Here is a 16,878-nt window from a genome sequence, read left to right on the forward strand (position 1 = left end):
TCAAGGTTAATTTTTTCACCTTTGGATATCCATTCATTCCAGCACCATTTGTTGATATATCGTCCTTCCTCCATTAAATTGCTGTTGCACTTTTGTCAAAAATTAATTGGGCATATTTGTGTGGGAGAGATCTATTTTTTCCTGATAAATTTGCATTGGTAATATTTTTGCCTTATTACTAGCATTATAGGTGTCTATATCATCTATGCTTAAATACTTTTCCTGGGCCGGACACGGTGGCTTACGCCTGTAATCCCAGCACTTTGGGAGGCCGAGGCAGGTGGATCAGCTGAGGTCAGGAGTTTGAAACCAGCCTGGCCAATGTGGTGAAGCCCTGTCTCTACAAAAATACAAAAATTAGCCGGGCATGATGGCAGGTGCCTGTAATCCCAGCTACCCGGGAGTCTGAGGCTGGAGAATCACTTGAACCTGGGAGACAGAAGTTGCAGTGAGCCGAAATTGTGCCACTACACTCCAGCCTGGGCGACAGAGCGAGACTCCGTCTCAAAAACAAACAAACAAACAAAAAACTTTCCCTGATTACACAGGGCTATAAAAATTTTTATTAGACTTTTTTCTTTTAGAGCAGTTTTAGGTTCACAGCAAAATTGAGAGGAAGGTACAGAGATTTTCCATACACCTTCTACTCCCACACATGCACAGCCTCCCCATTATCAACATCCCTACCAGGACAGCACATTGCTCACAACTAATGAACCTGCATTGACACATCGTACTCACCCAGAGTCCACAGTTTACATGAGGGTTCACTCTTGGTGGTGTAATTTTATGGGTTTGCACAAATATGTAATGCCATGTATCTACGATCATAGTATCATATGGAGCAGTTTCAGTGACCTAAAAATCTGCTCCACGTGTTTATTCCCCCTCCCCACAAATCCCTGGCAAACATTCTTATTTTTACCATCTCCATAGTTTTGCCTTTTCAGAATATTGTATAAAGTTGGAATCTTAGAGTCTGTAGCCTTTCAGACGGACTTCTTTCACTTAATAATATGCATTTAAGTTTCTGTGACTTCATGGCTAGATAGCTCGTTTCCTTTTGAGTGCTGAATAATGTTCCATTGTCTGGATGTACCACATAGTTCAGTTTAGTTATTCATTCACATACTGAAGGACATCTTGGTTGTTTCCAGGTTTTGGCAATTATGAGTAAGAAGACTTTTTTTTTTTTTTTGAGATGGAATCTCACTCTGTTGCCCAGGTTGGAATGGAGTGACGCAATCTTGGCTCACTGCAACCTCTGCCTCCCGTGTTCAAGAGATTTTCTTGCCTTAGCCTCTCGAGTAGCTGGGATTACAGGCATCCGCCACTACACCCGGCTAATTTTTGTTTGTTTGTTTTTGAGATGGAGTCTCTCTCTGTCGCCCACGCTGGAGTGCAGTGGCATGACCTCGGCTCACTGCAACCTCCACCTCCCAGGTTCAAGCAATTCTCCTGTCTCCACCTCCCGAGTAGCTGGAATTACAGGCATGCACCACCACACCAGCTAATTTTTGTATTTTTAGTAGAGACAGGGTTTCACAATGTTAGCCAGGCTGGTCTCGAACTCCTGACCTCAGGTGATTCACCCGCCTCTGCCTCCCAAAGTGCTGGGATTACAGGCGTAAGCCACGGCGCCCAGCCTAATTTTGGTATTTTTAGTAGAGATGGGGTTTTACCATGTTGGCCAGGCTAGTCTCGAACTCCTGACCTCAAGTGATCCACCCACCTTGGCCTCCCAAAGTGCTGGGATTACAGGCGTGAGCCACCATGCCCGGCCAGAGAAGAAATCTATTTTTAATAAACTTTTAGCAATGTAGTGGTAGTACTAGTACTGCTTTCATTAGTTACTGATGTCTTTTTACAGATAATTTTATTGTTACTGACTTTGTTCATAACCCCAATAGTAGGACAATTTTATAGTTAATTTCAAAGGAGATTAGAACATTTTGGTATATTAATAGATTGAAAGAGAGACCACTGGCCAAATCCAGAGTATTTACAAAAGCATCTAAAATTTTTGGACATTTTCAGAACCTCCAACCTCAGATAATCTTACAGAAATCTTTGCCCTTCCTGAAATATTCACCAATTTTTTTTTTTTTTTGAGATGCTCTGTCAGTCAGGCTGGAGTTGCAGTGGTATGATCTCAGCACACTGCAACCTCCGCCTACTGGGTTCAAGCAATTCTCATGCCTCAGCCTCCAGAGGAGCAGGAATTACAGGCATGCACCATCACACCTAGCTAATTTTTATATTTTTAGTAGAGACAGGGTTTCACCATGTTGGCCAGGCTGCTCTCGAACTCCTGACCTCAAGTGATCCACCCGCCTTGGTCTCCCAATGTGCTGGGATTACCACGCCTGGCCAGAGAAGAAACCTATTTTTAATAAAATTTTAGCAGTGTAGTGGTAGTACTGCTTTAATTAGTTACTGATGTCTTTTTACAGTTGATTTGATTGTTACTGACTTTGTTCATAACCCCAATAGTAGAGATAATTTCATAATTAATTTCAAAGGAGATTAGAACATTTTGGTTCATTAATAGATTGAAAGAGAGACCACTGGCCAAATCCAAAGTATTTACAAAGAGCATATAAAATCTTTGGAGGTTGTCAGAACTCCCACCCACAGATAACCTTATAGAAAGCTTTGCCCTTCCTGAAATATTCACCTTTTTTTTTTTTTTTGAGACGGAGTTTCGCTCTTGTTGCCCAGGCTGGAATGCAATGGTGCAATCTCAGCTCACCGCAACCTCTGCCTCCTGGGTTCAAGCAATTCTCCTTCCTTAGCCTCCCGAGTAGCTGGGATTACATCCATGTGCCTCCACGCCTGGCTAATTTTGTGCTTTTAGTAGAGATGGGGTTTCTCCATGTTGGTCAGGCTGGTCTTGAACTCCCGACCTCAGGTTATCCGCCTGCCTCGGCCTCCCAAAGTGCTGAGATTACAGGCATGAGCCACCACGACTGGCCCACTAATTTTTTTAATTTTTTTTTTCTTTGAGAAGGCGGTCTTGTTCTGTCATCCGGGCTGTAGTGCAGTGGTACCATCACAGCTCACTGCAACATTGACCTCTTGGGCCCAAGCAATTCTCCTACCTCAGCCTCCCAAGTAGCTGGGACTACAGGCACTCGCCACCACACCCAGCTTTATTTTATTTTTTGTAGAGATGGGGTCTCACTATATTGGCCCAGCTGGGCTCAAGTAATCCTCCCGCCTCAGCCTCCCAACGTGCTGGGATTACAGGTATGAGCCACTGTGCCCAGCCCACTTATTAAATATCAGTATGGACCAATGAATTCATCTTTTATTCAGCAAGTTATATCTATTACTGTATTCATTTTGATGCTCAATTTTACCATATTTAAGCTGGTTCCTGTGTCCTTTGGACACATGCCCGTCATTCTTTGAGTACCTCCTTATTTTCTGACACAGTAAGATGCGTCAAACTCATCTTTTGCTTTCTGTGCTCTGGAGTCAGCCATCTTTTCAAGAAGCTCTGGTTGATTTTAATGGAGAATGGCTTTTTGGTTTTGGGGTTTTTTTAGTTTTAGTTTTAGTTTTTCAGAGATGGCATCTTGCTATGTTCACTACGCTGAAATGCAGTGGCTCTTCACAGGCATGATCTTGGTGCACCACAGCCTCAAACTCCTGAGCTCAAGCGATGCCCTCACCTCAGCCTCCCAAGTAGTTGAGACTGCTCCTGAGTCACTTGTGCCACTGTGGCTGGTTAAGAATGTTACTTAGAAGCCAAGATCCGGGTTCTAGGTGGGCTTCCTGCTATTGAGATATCATTGCCTCTCTGCCCTCTCAGTGGACAGAGGAAGGAAATGTGTGTGTATATTCATCCACATACACACACAACTATATCTACTTCTATATTTCTATCTATCTAAAATCATTATTTCATACCAATACTTCCAACTCTAGATCATTACCACAGAATTTATTCTAAGTTTTCTTATTTCTATATGTATAACTCGCTTCTCCAACAGTAAGAAGCTTGGCTTCATTTTCCTCAATATTACTTATTCATACTTCCTGTATATAATCAACCTCCTGACAATGTAGGCCACTTCCTTCACCCCAACCCTCAGCTACGCACCACACAAGTGACCTTCTCTGCCCAGTCCTGTTAACTGGCCATGTGGAATTCTCAGCCTGACCACACCGTCTGTGCCAGCAACACCAGCTGAACCTCCAACTGGCCACATCCTCAGGCCCTGGCCCTGCTGACCATCCTTGGCCCCATTTGCGTCTACTGAATCCTAAGCCCTGACCAAAAGGAAAGGGCAGAATACCAGTCTAATGGAACTTGAAAAGGCATTACAAGTTTTGAAGATAAGAAAAAAATGAAAAAATATAGAAGGAAAGAAGAAAAGAAAATAATAAAACCTGTTGCAGATGCAACAAATATGCGACACCAGCTTTATACCAAGGCCCTGTACAAAGTCTGAGGGCAAGTAAGATCTGTTCCTAACCCTCAGGAAACTTACAACTGGCTGGAAAGAATAATATGTATGTACTACACAGGAAACAATGTTGTAATTAACATTCTAAGTATATAAACAGAGGATCAGGAGGAAAAGAACAATGGATTCAGCCTGAGGATGTCAGTGGACAAATGGAATGCTGCCAGGGAAGGGTGGCCTGTTCCCAACCAAGGAAGCCTTTAACCAGGTGCAAAGTCGAGGCACCCAGGGCACATGGGGCTAGTGACCAAGATGTGCAAAGTCTAGTGTATGTTTTAAAGTGTTTTTGAAATAATATCTTAAATTGTTAGTATATGTATAACTTCTGCTTTTAAATGCTTTTAAAACATTTTTTGGTATAATAATTAATCTTTATTGTGTCTTCAAATTGTAGCTGAAGAGTCTGCTGCTTCTGGAGCAAAGGGAGATCTGGCTGCTAGTGACCGATGTCACTCTGCAAACGAAGGAGGAGAGAGACCCCAGGCTCCCCAAAACCCTGCTGGTCTATGTGGCCCCCTTGTGTGTGCTGGGCTCTGAAGTCCTGGAGGCACTCGCTGGGGCTGCCCCTCACAGCCTCTTCTTCAAGGACGCTCTCCGTGACCAGGGTGTGCTTGCGTCTCCACAGCTTTGATGCAGGGGCGACTGATCCGTGCCCATAGAATACCTCTTGTGGCCTCTGGATGCCTCCTTGTTGCTTGGACGCTGCCGGCACCTTCACGGAGCCCATCACAGACATGGCCCATGTACCAGCCTCCAGCCTTCACTGACCCTGTAGCAGCCACCTGGGCAGAACCAGCTCCATGGAGATGCTGTGCTCACTCCAGAATTGCCTGCTGGTGGCACCCCATACTGCTGCAGACTCCACAAACAAACCAAAAGCTAGAATATTATAAATGCGTATACTTAGATCAGCCAGCCCCTTTTTCCAGGGATCAAACTAAAATCCTGCCTCAGCTATCTTTTTTAATTTTTATTGAGTCATAATTCACATGCCACATAATTTACCCTGTGTGGATTGACTTGAATCTCACATTTGAGTGCTTTTTTAGCTTAGCTCATGGGGTTCAGGAGTGTGCACACACAATGAACGTGCTGCTGGACACAGTCCCATAACTGCACCTTCACCTGCATGACTCGAGGGGTAGCAAAGGAGACTGCCATTATGGGCACAATTCACTTTTTCTTCAAGGCTTCAATAACCTGAAGTGTCTCTGTCGGCAGGTCGGATTGTTTGTGCTGAACGAACTGTCCTCTTGCTTCAGAAGCCCCTTTTGAGTGTGGTCTCTGGTGCAAGTTCCTGTGAGCTGCCTGGCCCGGTGATGCTCGACAGCCTGGACTCTGCAACACCTGTCAACTCCATCTGCAGTGTTCAAGGTAGGCAGCCATCTCACAGGAATTGGTGCTTATACTTTCTTAACTGTTATACTTTATATTCATTTACTCATTTATTCAACAAGTATTTGTGGAGCACCCGCTAAGTTCCAGACACTGGATACATAAAGAACAAAAGCAGAAATTGTTCTTGGTATCAGACTCGAGTCTGCACAGAAAGATGTGAATCAGACGAACACAGACAGGCCTATCCTCAGGCTCTGAGTGCTCTAGCCGCTGATAACCTGGGCCCACGTCTTAGTGGGGAACTCAGGGAAGGCTTCCCAAAGACAGGAGCCTCAAGCTGAGCTCTGAAGCATAGATGAGACTACTTAGGTCAGGGATGGAGCAGGAGGAACATTCCTGGGAAGAGAGCAGGACTTCGTAAGGCCACTGGCATGAGAAAGTTGGTGAGCAGGGGTGTCTGGGAAGAGGCAGGACAGGCAGCCAGATGGAGGTGGGACCAAGCTGAGGCTGGTGGGCCCACCAGGCTGGTGGTGTCAGGAGTGTGTTCTGTCATTGGTACAGGCGGCCTGGTCTGATGTCCTCCCTGCAGAGCAGAGTGGAGGGACTGGGTGGCAGAGGTAGAGAAGGAAATCCAAGGATGGACTTAGGGAAATCGGCAGGTTGAGCGATGAATTGGGCATAGATGGAGGCAGAAGACATCTGACAACCTCCGAGCTCCTGGCTCAGTTGAGGTAACAGTGGTGCTGTTCATTAAGTAGGATGTGGCAGGCAAAGTCAGCTTTGAGGGGACCTGCTCAGTTCTGTCGGGAGAGTTTGCGTGTTTTACATACATCTGAGATGTTTCAGTAGCTGGTTAGATATGTGAGTCTGGAGCTGAAAATAGCATTATTATTTTCTCTTTTTTAACTTTATAAAACTTAGTAATAAAAGTCATACATGTCTAGTGGAACTAGTGAAAAATAAGAGAAAGTTAACAGCCCACCCTCTGTCCCCGGCTTCCTGCCTGTGCTGGCGCATCCAGGAGACACAGCTGCCCGCCTTGAGGGTGTATGCGTTCTTGCAAGTCAAATGATTTACTGCACATTATTCTGCCACTTGCTTCCCTCTAGGAGGGATGTCCGTCCAGGTGGGGGGAGAGGTCAAACTCAAGAGTTTAATAGTTGCATAGCATCCCCTCATATGAATAAACTCTTCCTCCACTCATGGACATCCAGGATCTCTCGTGTTTTTGCAATTATTAAACAAGGCTGTAATAAACATTCTTGGACATCAATCTCTACTGATTTCTGTAAAGGAGGATTTCAGCGGCTTGGGGTTTATGGACTTTTTAAACAACTTTATTGAGCTATAACTCAGTAATACCCTATAATTCACTCCTTTAAAGTGTTTTTAGTATTCACAGAATTGTGCAAAGATCACTACAATCTAATTTTAGAACAAAAACCCATACCCGTTATCATTCACGCCCCGTTACCACCCACCCTCCCACACCCTAGTCTTAGGAAACCACCAATCTACTGTTTGCTTCTATGAATTTGCCTGTTCTGCTTTTTGGGGGGGTTTTTTGTTTTTGTTTTTGTTTTTGTTTTGAGATGGAGTCTCGCTCTGTCACCCAGGCTGGAGTGCAGTGGTGTGATCTCTGCTCACTGCAACCTCTACCTCCTGGGATCAAGCAATTTTCCTGCCTCAGCCTCCCAAGTAGCTGGGATTACAGGCGTGCACCACCATGCCCGGCTAATTTTTTTATTTTTATTAGAGACAAGGTTTCACCATGTTGGCCAGGCTGGTCTCGAACTCCTGACCTCAGGTGATCTCCTCTCCTCGGCCTCCCAAAATGCTGGGATTACAGGTGTGAGCCACCGCCCCCAGCCTATTCTGGACACTTCATGTTAACTGGAATAATATTTAGGCTGGTGCAAAAATAATTGTGGTTTTTGCCATTAAAAGTAATGGAAAGAGCCGTGATTACTTTTGCACAAACCTAACATACTATGTGATCTTTCATGATTAGCATCTTTCAATCAGCATAAATGTTTTCAAGGTTCATCCACAATGCAGTGTGTATTTCTTTTATGGCATAATAACATTTCATTGCACAGATATGCCACATTTTGTTTATCCTTTCCTCAGTTGATGGACATTTCATTTGGGTTGTTTCTACTTTTTGGCTACTACGAATAAAGCTGCTATGAATATTCATGGACAAGGTTTTGTTTGAACGCCTGTTTTGAAATTTGGGGTATGAATCCAGGACTGGAATTGCTAAGTCATATGGTAACCCTGCATTTTTAACCTTTTTGAAGAACACCAGTGTTTTCCAAAGTGGCTACACTAGGGGTTTGTGCCTCTCTCTTTTTTCTTTTTTTTTTTTTTTTTTTGGAGACAGAGTCTGTCTGTCACCCAGGCTGGAGTGCAATGGCATGATCTCAGCTCACTGCAACCTCTGCCTACTGGGTTCAAGAGAATCTCCTGCCTCAGCCTCCCAAGTAGCTGGGACTACAGGCATGCACCACCACACCTGGCTACTTTTTGTATTTTTAATAGAGATTTTGCCGTGTTGGCCAGGCTGGTCTTGAACTCCTGACCTCAGGTGATCCACCCACCTCGGCCTCCCAAAGTTCTGGAATTACAGGTGTGAACCACGGCACCCAGCCGGTTCAAAGCATATCAAAATTCAGAATTCCGAGCGTAATGTCTAAGATGGCTGGTGTTCCTCACCCTTACCTATAACTAGTTCCTGACTTTTTATAATTGATAAACAGAAAACTCTTGTGATTCCATTGTTGCTTTCACATTCTTTTCACTGTGTTGAGGCCATTTGGATTTTCTCTTCTGTGCATCTCCTTTTGGGGTTAATGCTAACACATTACTGCAGTTATGGGGTGATGGGTCATATGGGGCCTCCATTTTCTCATCTGTAAAATAGGGCTAACGGAATCAGCCTCAAAACACTGTTGAGAATTAAATGAGATAATGCTCAGGAGGCTTTGGGGGCTTTGAAGCTCTGAGTCCAGTGGAGAAAACAGACATCTCAGTACTGGTACCAGGAGTCAGGAAGGGAGGGAGGGATGTCTGAGGGCTGCAGCCACTGACTGCAGAGGGTGGGTGGCCTTAGGACCATCAGGATTTGTCAAGTAGAGTTGGGCAAGGCTGTAAGAGCAGGTGGAAGGGCACATGGAAAACCCACAGAAGTGCTGGGAGCAGTTATAAACCCTCCCAAGTGATGGGAGAGGGGCAGGGACCAAGAAGGGCAGCAGGGGACCCAGTTGCTTGTGTATTGCTCTGCTTTCCCTGGCCATGTGGAGATTATATGGTCAGATTTTTTAATGAAGAAATTCTGCAGCCCCAGAGACTGTGATGCAAAGCAGGGAGAGATGATTGGCAGGAAGAAGAGGGTCTGCAGGGGTGGAGCAGACTGCCTGGCCCACGTGAGCCAGCGTGGAGCTGCTCTTTGGTGTACAGCAGCACTGTGTCCCTGAGCAGACCGGCTACAGGGACAGGGCATATGGTGCAGAGGGATGCAGCCTGGTCCCTGGGGCGCATGTGCTATTTGTGTGCCTTTGGCAGTGACCCATCGCTCGCTTCCAGGGCTTGCTGGTCTCCAGGCTCATGTATAAGGACATCCCTTCCACCTTCATTCTCTTCACTGGTTGCTACCTGTTCTTCTCCCACCCCCTCAGCTCTCCCAGAGGCCAGGATTAGTCAGGGGCTCAGGGAGAACATCCCACAGTGAAGGTCTCAGCTCTGGGTCTGAGAGTCACAGCCATGCCACAAACCAGTTAGGCTGCATGGGACCCTGTTATTTTATGACCAGAAGAATCGCCACCACCCATAGCAGTGTCTCATGAGAAAATGTGTACCTGAAGAACCCCAAGGAGGGTTTCCCTAACCCATTCCTAACTACGGCCAATGAGTGCCACAGGTGCACACAGAGGCAGATCCTCACCTTTTGTGCCTGTGGCAGTAGGCCTGCCTGTTGGTACACTGAGGGAACTTTGCTCTAGGTGGTCAGATGCAGCCTCATGTGACTTAGTGCAGTGACCTCCCTGTTGGGCATTAGCTGTGTTGGCAGCAGCTGGGAACACTGATGAGGCTCAGTCATCCTTAGGCCCCACCTTACTTAAACTGAACCTTCAAATGGGTGTTGAAAACTAAATATGTGTAATGTAATCAATAGGCAGTTTGATCTGTCACAAAGCTCTGTTCCTGGTAGCAAATTTAGGTGTTCTAGAGATCAGCAGTTCAGATTCTTAAGCACCTAACCACTGGAAGGAGAGCAGCACAAGATGCCATTCCTAACACTCGGCTGCTGCCTTCAGACCTCTGTGGGCTTTGCTGAGTGTAACACCTTTCTAAAATGAGAGCAGCCCTGGGGCACATGCTGTTGGCACCCTCCTTAATCAAAAACAGCTGCACAGGTCCAAGCCCAGTGTCCATATGCCAGACACATTGAAGGACTCTAGAGGCTGGGGTTCCCTGTATCCAGTCCACCCAAGCCACATTTCAAAGCTTGTAGCCGGGATCTGTGCTTTTATTCCAAGGTTTGAATGGACAGTAACAGTGGAGGCATGCACTACTAAAGCTACGTGCTTGCCTCCATGTGCAGTAGAGAGGGCATCATATCAGTCACATACGGAGATCAAACACACATTTGTCCTTTGCTCATCCAATGCTGTTCCCAACTAAAAGCAAAGAAGCAAGATTTCTAAACAGGGGAGGAAACATGCTCTGATTGGTTCATGTATTTTGCATGTATTAAGATGAAAATTATTTTTTTTTTCTGTGCCCTCATTTTACAAATTGGTGGGATCAACGTTTCTGACTAAGCCAGTTGTATTTAGGCAGTTTTTCCTTCTCAAATTCACTTAAGAAATATGCTTAAACTACTTATCTTTGGCTCTTTTTTTTTTTCATTTTTCTGTACCTCATTGGAGGCAAGGGCTCCTTTTTATTTTTTTAACATGAGCACTAGTCAGGAAGATGAATTACTATCCTCATGGTTTAAGTCACCTTTCATTTTTTCATTGCACGTTGATAAAACTTTATTTTATAAAGTGTAAACCACAGTGAGACATTCAGACATTACCTATAAACTTCATTTTCTTTTATAGAAATATTGAAGAATAGAAATACGGTCTTGGCCAAGCAATGGCAGGATTCTTTTTTTTTCCCCTCAACTTTTAAGTTCTGGGGTACATGTGCAGGACGTGCAGGTTTGTTAAATAGGTAGACGTGTGCCATGGTGGTTTGCTGCACAGATCAACCCATCACCCAGGTATTAAGCCCAGCATACATTAGCTATTCTTGATGCTCTCCCTTCCCCTACGCAGGGCTCCTTCTAAATAGAGAAAAGTTGGAAACCCTCACAGGTCTTCCCTGTGAGAGAGCTGTGGGTGAATACTGAGGTGAGGTGGTGAGCAGGAAGGGAGTGGGTACTGGGGGAGGTGGCCTGCATGGCACAGAGACAGCACTAAACACAGGCACCATTGGTTTGCCAATGAGAAGTTCTAGGCCTCTCAACGTCAGTTAGTAAATGTCCTAGGAACCTAAAGTCACTTTAGTGGCCTGAACAGGGAAGCAGCCCTGCCATCCTAAGCTTCATAGAAACGATGTAAGTACCAGGCTGGGCGTGGTGGTTCATGCCTGTAATCCCAGCACTTGGGGAGGCCGAGGCAGGCGGATCACGAGGTCAGGAGATCGAGACCATCCTGGCTAACACAGTGAAACCCTGTCTCTACTAAAAATACAAAAAAATTAGCTGGGCATGGTGGCAGGCACCTGTAGTCCCAGCTACTCGGGAGGCTGAGGCAGGAGAATGGCGTGAACCTGGGAGGCAGAGCTTGCAGTGAGCCGAGACTGCACCACTGCACTCCAGCCTGGGCGACAGAGCGAGACTCCGTATCAAAAAAAAAAAATAGAAAGCATATAAGCACCAGTTGTGTCTGGCCAGTCTGATTACGGCCAGCATTGCCAGCAGCTGGGAATTTGCCTTCTCCAAGCAGCTACAGCTGGCCCAGGCACTGGGCTAACAAGGGGTGAGTGCCCTAGGAGCCAGGCTGGAGGGACCAGGGGTTCCTACTCCTGGGAAAGCCAAGGGAGCCAGAGTCTCAATGCTCCTCACACCCAGGGAAGCCAGGGCCCCCACATCTCCCACACTGAAGGAAACCAGGGAAGCCAAGGCCCCCACATCTCCCACAGTCAACCCGCACTCAAGGAACCCAATGCTCCTTACATTTACAGGAGCCAGGGCTCCCATGCCCCCCCACACCCAGGGGAGCCAGCATTCTCTGTTTGTGTTGTACAGTTCTGTTGGTTTTGACAGATGTATAATACCATGTACTACCGTTACCATTAGTGTATCATACAGAATAGTTTCACCACCCTAAAAATCCTGTGCTCTGGCTCTTCATCCCTCCCTCCCCACTGACTACTGGCAGCCACTCTTCTTTGTACTGTCTCTGTAGTTTGGCCTTGTCCAGAATGTCATATAGTTGGAATCATGCAGTATGCAACCTTTTCAGATTAGCTTATTTCCGTTAGCAATATGCATTTAAGGTTCCTCCACATCTTTTCATGGCTTGATAGCGCATTTCTTTTTAGCACTGAATAGTATTCCATTGCATGGATGTACCACAGTTTTCTGGTTTGCTTCCAAGTTTTGGCAATTATTAATGAGGCTGCAATAGACGTTTGTGAAGGTTTTTGTGTGGGCATAAGTTTTCAACTCGTGGGTAAATACCAAGAAGTATGATTGCTGGATCATATGTTTAGTTTTCGAAGTAACTGCTAAGCCGTCTTCCAAAGTTGGCTGTATCATTTTGCATTCCCACCAGCAATGAATAAGAGCTCCTCTTGATCCACATCCTCACCAGCATTTGGTGTTACTAGTGTTTTGGATTTTTGCCATTCTAATAGATGTGTAGTAGTATCTCACTGCTGCTTCAATTTGCAATTCCTTAATGACATATGACATTTAGCATCTTTTCATATGGTTATTTGTCAACCTCTTTGATGATTTGTCTGTTCAAATCATTTGCCCATTTTTTAATTGGGTTGTTCATTTTCTTATTGTTGAGTTTTAAGTGTTAACAGTCCTTGATCAGATGTGTCTTTTGCAAATATTTTTCCCAGTTCATGGCTTGTCTTTTCATACTTTTTTTTTTCTTTTTTGAGATGGAGTCTCTCTCTGTTGCCCAGGCTGGAGTGCAGTGGTGCAGTCTTGGCTCACTGCAACTTCCACCCCGCTGGTTCAAGCAATTCTCCTCCCTTATCCTCCTGAGTAGCTGGGATTACAGGCGCCTGCCACCATGCCCAGCTAGTTTTTTTATGTTTAGTAGAGACTGGGTTTTGCCATGTTAGCCAGGCTGGTCTTGAACTCCTGACCTCAGGTGATCCACCCACCTAGGCCTCCCAAACTGCTGGGATTACAGGCATGAGCCACCGCTTCTGGCCCTTTTCATACTCTTAATAAGTCTTTTTGCAAACCATAAGTTTTAATTTTAATGAAGTCTCACATCAGTTGTTTCTTTCACGAATTGCATTTCTGGTGTTACATCTAAAAACTCATTGTAAAACCCATGATCATCTAGATTTTCTCCTGTTTTCTTTCTAGGAGTTTCGTGTTTTACATTTAAGTCTATGATCCATTTTGAATTAATTTTTGTAAAAGATGTAAGATCTATGTCTAGATTCATTTTTTTGCCTGTGGAAATCTAGTTGTTCTGGCACCATTTGTTGAAAAGACTGTTCTTTCTCCATTGAAATGTCTTTGTTCCTTTGTCAAAGATCAGGTGACTATATTTATGAGGGTCTGTGTTCCCTTGATCTATTTGTTCTTTTGCTACCAGTACACCATCTTAATTATTGAAACTTTTTTTTTTTTTTGAGACAGAGTCTTGCTCAGTTACCCAGGCTGGAGTGCAGTGGCACGATCTTGGCTCACTGCAAGCTCCGCCTCCCGGGTTCACGCCATTCTCCTGCCTCAGCCTCCCAAGTAGCTGGGACTACAGGCACCTGCCACCATGCCCGGCTAATTTTTTTTTTGTATTTTTAGTAGAGACGGGGTTTCACCATGTTAGCCAGGTTGGTCTCAATCTCCTGACCTCGTGATCCACCCACTTTGGCCTCCCAAAGTGCTGGGATTACAGGCGTGAGCCACCGCGCCCGGCCAATTACTGCGACTTTTAAGTCTTGAAGTCGGGTACTGTCAGTTTTCCAACTTTGTTCTTGTTCTTCAATATTGTCTTGGCTATTCTAGGTCATTTTGCCTCTCCATATAAACTTTAGAATCAGTTTGTTGATATCCACAAAATAACTTGATGAGATTTTGATTAGGATAGTGTTGAGTCTGTAGATCAGGTGGGGAAAAAATGACATGTTGTAATACTAGAGCCTTCTTATCCATGAACATGGAATATCTTTGCATTTATTTATATCTTCTTTGATATCTTTCAGAAGAGTTTTTTAGTTTTCCTCATACAGATCTTGTACATATTTTGTTAGATTTATACCTAAGTATTTCATTTATTTTGTTGCTATTGTAAATAGTATTATTTTTAATTTCAAATTCCAATCGTTCATTGAGTTTCATAGGAAAACAATTAACTTTTTGATATTAACCCTGCAACTTTGCTGTAATCACTTAGTAGTTCCAGTGGTCTTTTGTTGTTTCTTTGAGATTTTCTCCATAGAATACTAGGTCATCTGTGAACAGTTTTCTTTCTTCCTTCTCAATCTGTGTATCTTTTATTTTATTTTCTTGTCTTACTGCATTAGCTAGGACTATCAGTACCATGTAGAATAGCAGTAGTGGGAACATCCTTGCCCTGTTCTTAATCTTAAGGGTTAACCATGTATTTTCTCACCATTGATTATGATGTTAGCCAGAGGGGTTTTGTTCTTCCATTTGCTGGAGATAGTATCACTTTGGAAGAAAATAATATTAGCTCTCCTTCCCTTCTTTTATTACACTCTTCTTTTCCATCTACCTACCTTTGCATCTGCACTTTATATTGTTAAGATTGGTAACATTCTGTTGTATAACTATAATTAAGCTTTGCACACATTTTCTACAGATTGATTCTCAAAGATGAAAATCATTCTATACAAGTTGAGTATCCCATATCCGAAATGCTTGGAACCAGAAATGTTTTGGATTTTTTATTGGTTTTTTCATCCTTTTTTTTTTTCTTGAGATGGGGTCTTGCTGTATTGTCCAGGCTGCTCTCAAACTCCTGGCCATATTTTGGTTTTAATATTTTTAAGACAGCATCATCCAGGCTGGAGTGCATTGGTGTGATCATAGCTAACTGCAACCTTGAACTCTTGAGCTAAAGCAATACTCCCACGTCAGCCTCCCGAGTAACTAGGACTACTGGGATGGCACACACCACCATGCCCAGTTAATTTTTGTTGTTGTTATTGTTGTTGTTGTTGTTGTTGTTGTTGACACAGAGTTTCACTGTGTTGCCCAGGCTGCTCTCAAACTCCTGACCTCAAGTGATCCCCCGGCCTTGGCCTTCCAAAGTGCTGTGATTACAAGTGTGAGCCATTGTGGCTAGCCATGTGTCTTTATATAAACAACATATAGTTGGTTCTTGTTTTTTGTTCACTCCGATAGTCTCTGTCATTTAATTTGTGTATTGAGACCATTCTCATTTAAAGTGATTATTCATATAACTGAGATAATATCAACTGTATTTATAACTGTTTTCTATTCATTGACCCACTTGTTTCTTTATCTTCCACTCTCTGCCTATTCTGATTTTTATTGAACATTATGATTCCATTTTCTCTTTTCTTTCAAAATATCAATTATACTTTTTTTTTTTTTTTTTTTTCTGGAGAAGGAGTCTCGCTCTGTCGCCCAGGCTGGAGTGCAGTGGTGCGATCTCAAGTCACTGCAAGCTCCGCCTCCCGGGTTCATGCCATTCTTCTGCCTCAGCCTCCTGAGTAGCTGGGACTACAGGCACCCGCCACCATGCCCGGCTAATTTTTAGTATTTTTAGTAGAGACAGGGTTTCACTGTGTTAGCCAGGATGGTCTCGATCTCCTGACCTCACGATCCTCCCACCTTGGCCTCCCAAAGTGCTGGGATTACAGGCGTGAGCCACCACGCCCAGCCCAATTATACTTATTTTTAAGTTTTTCTAGTGGTTACCCTGGAGTTTGCAATACACTTTACAGCCAATCAAGTCCACTTTCAAATAACACTGTCCTGCTTCACAGGTAATGCAGGTACCTTCTATCAGAGTGTTCCTGATTTCTTTTTTTTTTCCTTCCCATCCCTTGTAACACTCCTGTTATGCATTTCACTTACTCAAAAGGTATAATCATTGATTACATTATCATTATTATTTAAATAAACTATTATCTTTTCTATCAATTTAGAATTAGAAATGTAAAAGATTTTATTTTACCTTCATTTATTCCTTCTCTAGTATTCTTCCTTTCTTTATATAGATTCAAGTTTCTGACATTTCATTTTCCTCATATCTCGCCATTTTCATGTAGCATTCCCTGTGGGCCTCTTCTGCTTCCGGGCCTGTTCTACAGCTGCCCTGCAGGCCCTCATGTAGGGTTCAAGATTTGTAAACAGACTTATCACAGAGGCAGGGCTGAGTGCTGCCAGATCCTTTAATGAGAACCAGTCAACTAGGCATTAAGAGAAAACAAACCCCCAGCTGCAAAATAACAAAGATTATCCAAGCCTCACATGCAGGAATGTCCATAGCAAGGTAGCAGCTAGGCAGTGACCTACTCCTACACAGTCCTCAGCCTGCACACCCACCAGCCACAGGTCTGCCCACCTCCATCAGATCCAGGCAAGGCTGGAGTCCTCACTGCTGTTTGGCAATAGCAGTTGCCCCCATCTCAGCACCTCAGATTTGCTCTGTTCTGCTCTGCCCTGGTCCAGAAGATCTCAGTGATGACATGTCCGCTGCATGGCTCCAAGGGGACCCCTTCACATCTGCAGAGAGTTGGTGCTAGGGCTTGGGCAGCTCTCCCAGCAGCTGAACCAGCTGAGCATCTGGGTCTCAGATGGCTGAGTACTGAACATTTTCTC

General features: G+C 44.3%; 1 protein-coding gene across 59 annotated transcripts in view; it reads left to right on the forward strand.

Moving 5' to 3' along the window:
• Window positions 1–16,878, forward strand: part of SPIDR (scaffold protein involved in DNA repair) — a 475,429-nt gene that overhangs the window by 446,915 nt on the left and 11,636 nt on the right. For 58 of the 59 annotated variants that reach the window (NR_148202.1, NR_148205.1, NR_148204.1 and 55 more), the window contains 2 exons: window positions 4,870–5,080; window positions 5,697–5,849. Coding sequence is in view for 54 of the 59 variants with exons in the window: in XM_017013268.3 (XP_016868757.1) it covers window positions 4,870–5,080; window positions 5,697–5,849 (364 nt within the window). In the remaining 5 variants the exon portion in view is untranslated. Of the gene's footprint in view, window positions 1–4,869; window positions 5,850–16,878 lie in introns of those variants that run through there. The other variant, XM_047421650.1, reaches the window with a different exon arrangement.

Source organism: Homo sapiens, chromosome 8 (genome assembly GCF_000001405.40).
Source record: "Homo sapiens chromosome 8, GRCh38.p14 Primary Assembly".
NCBI lineage: Eukaryota > Metazoa > Chordata > Mammalia > Primates > Hominidae > Homo > Homo sapiens.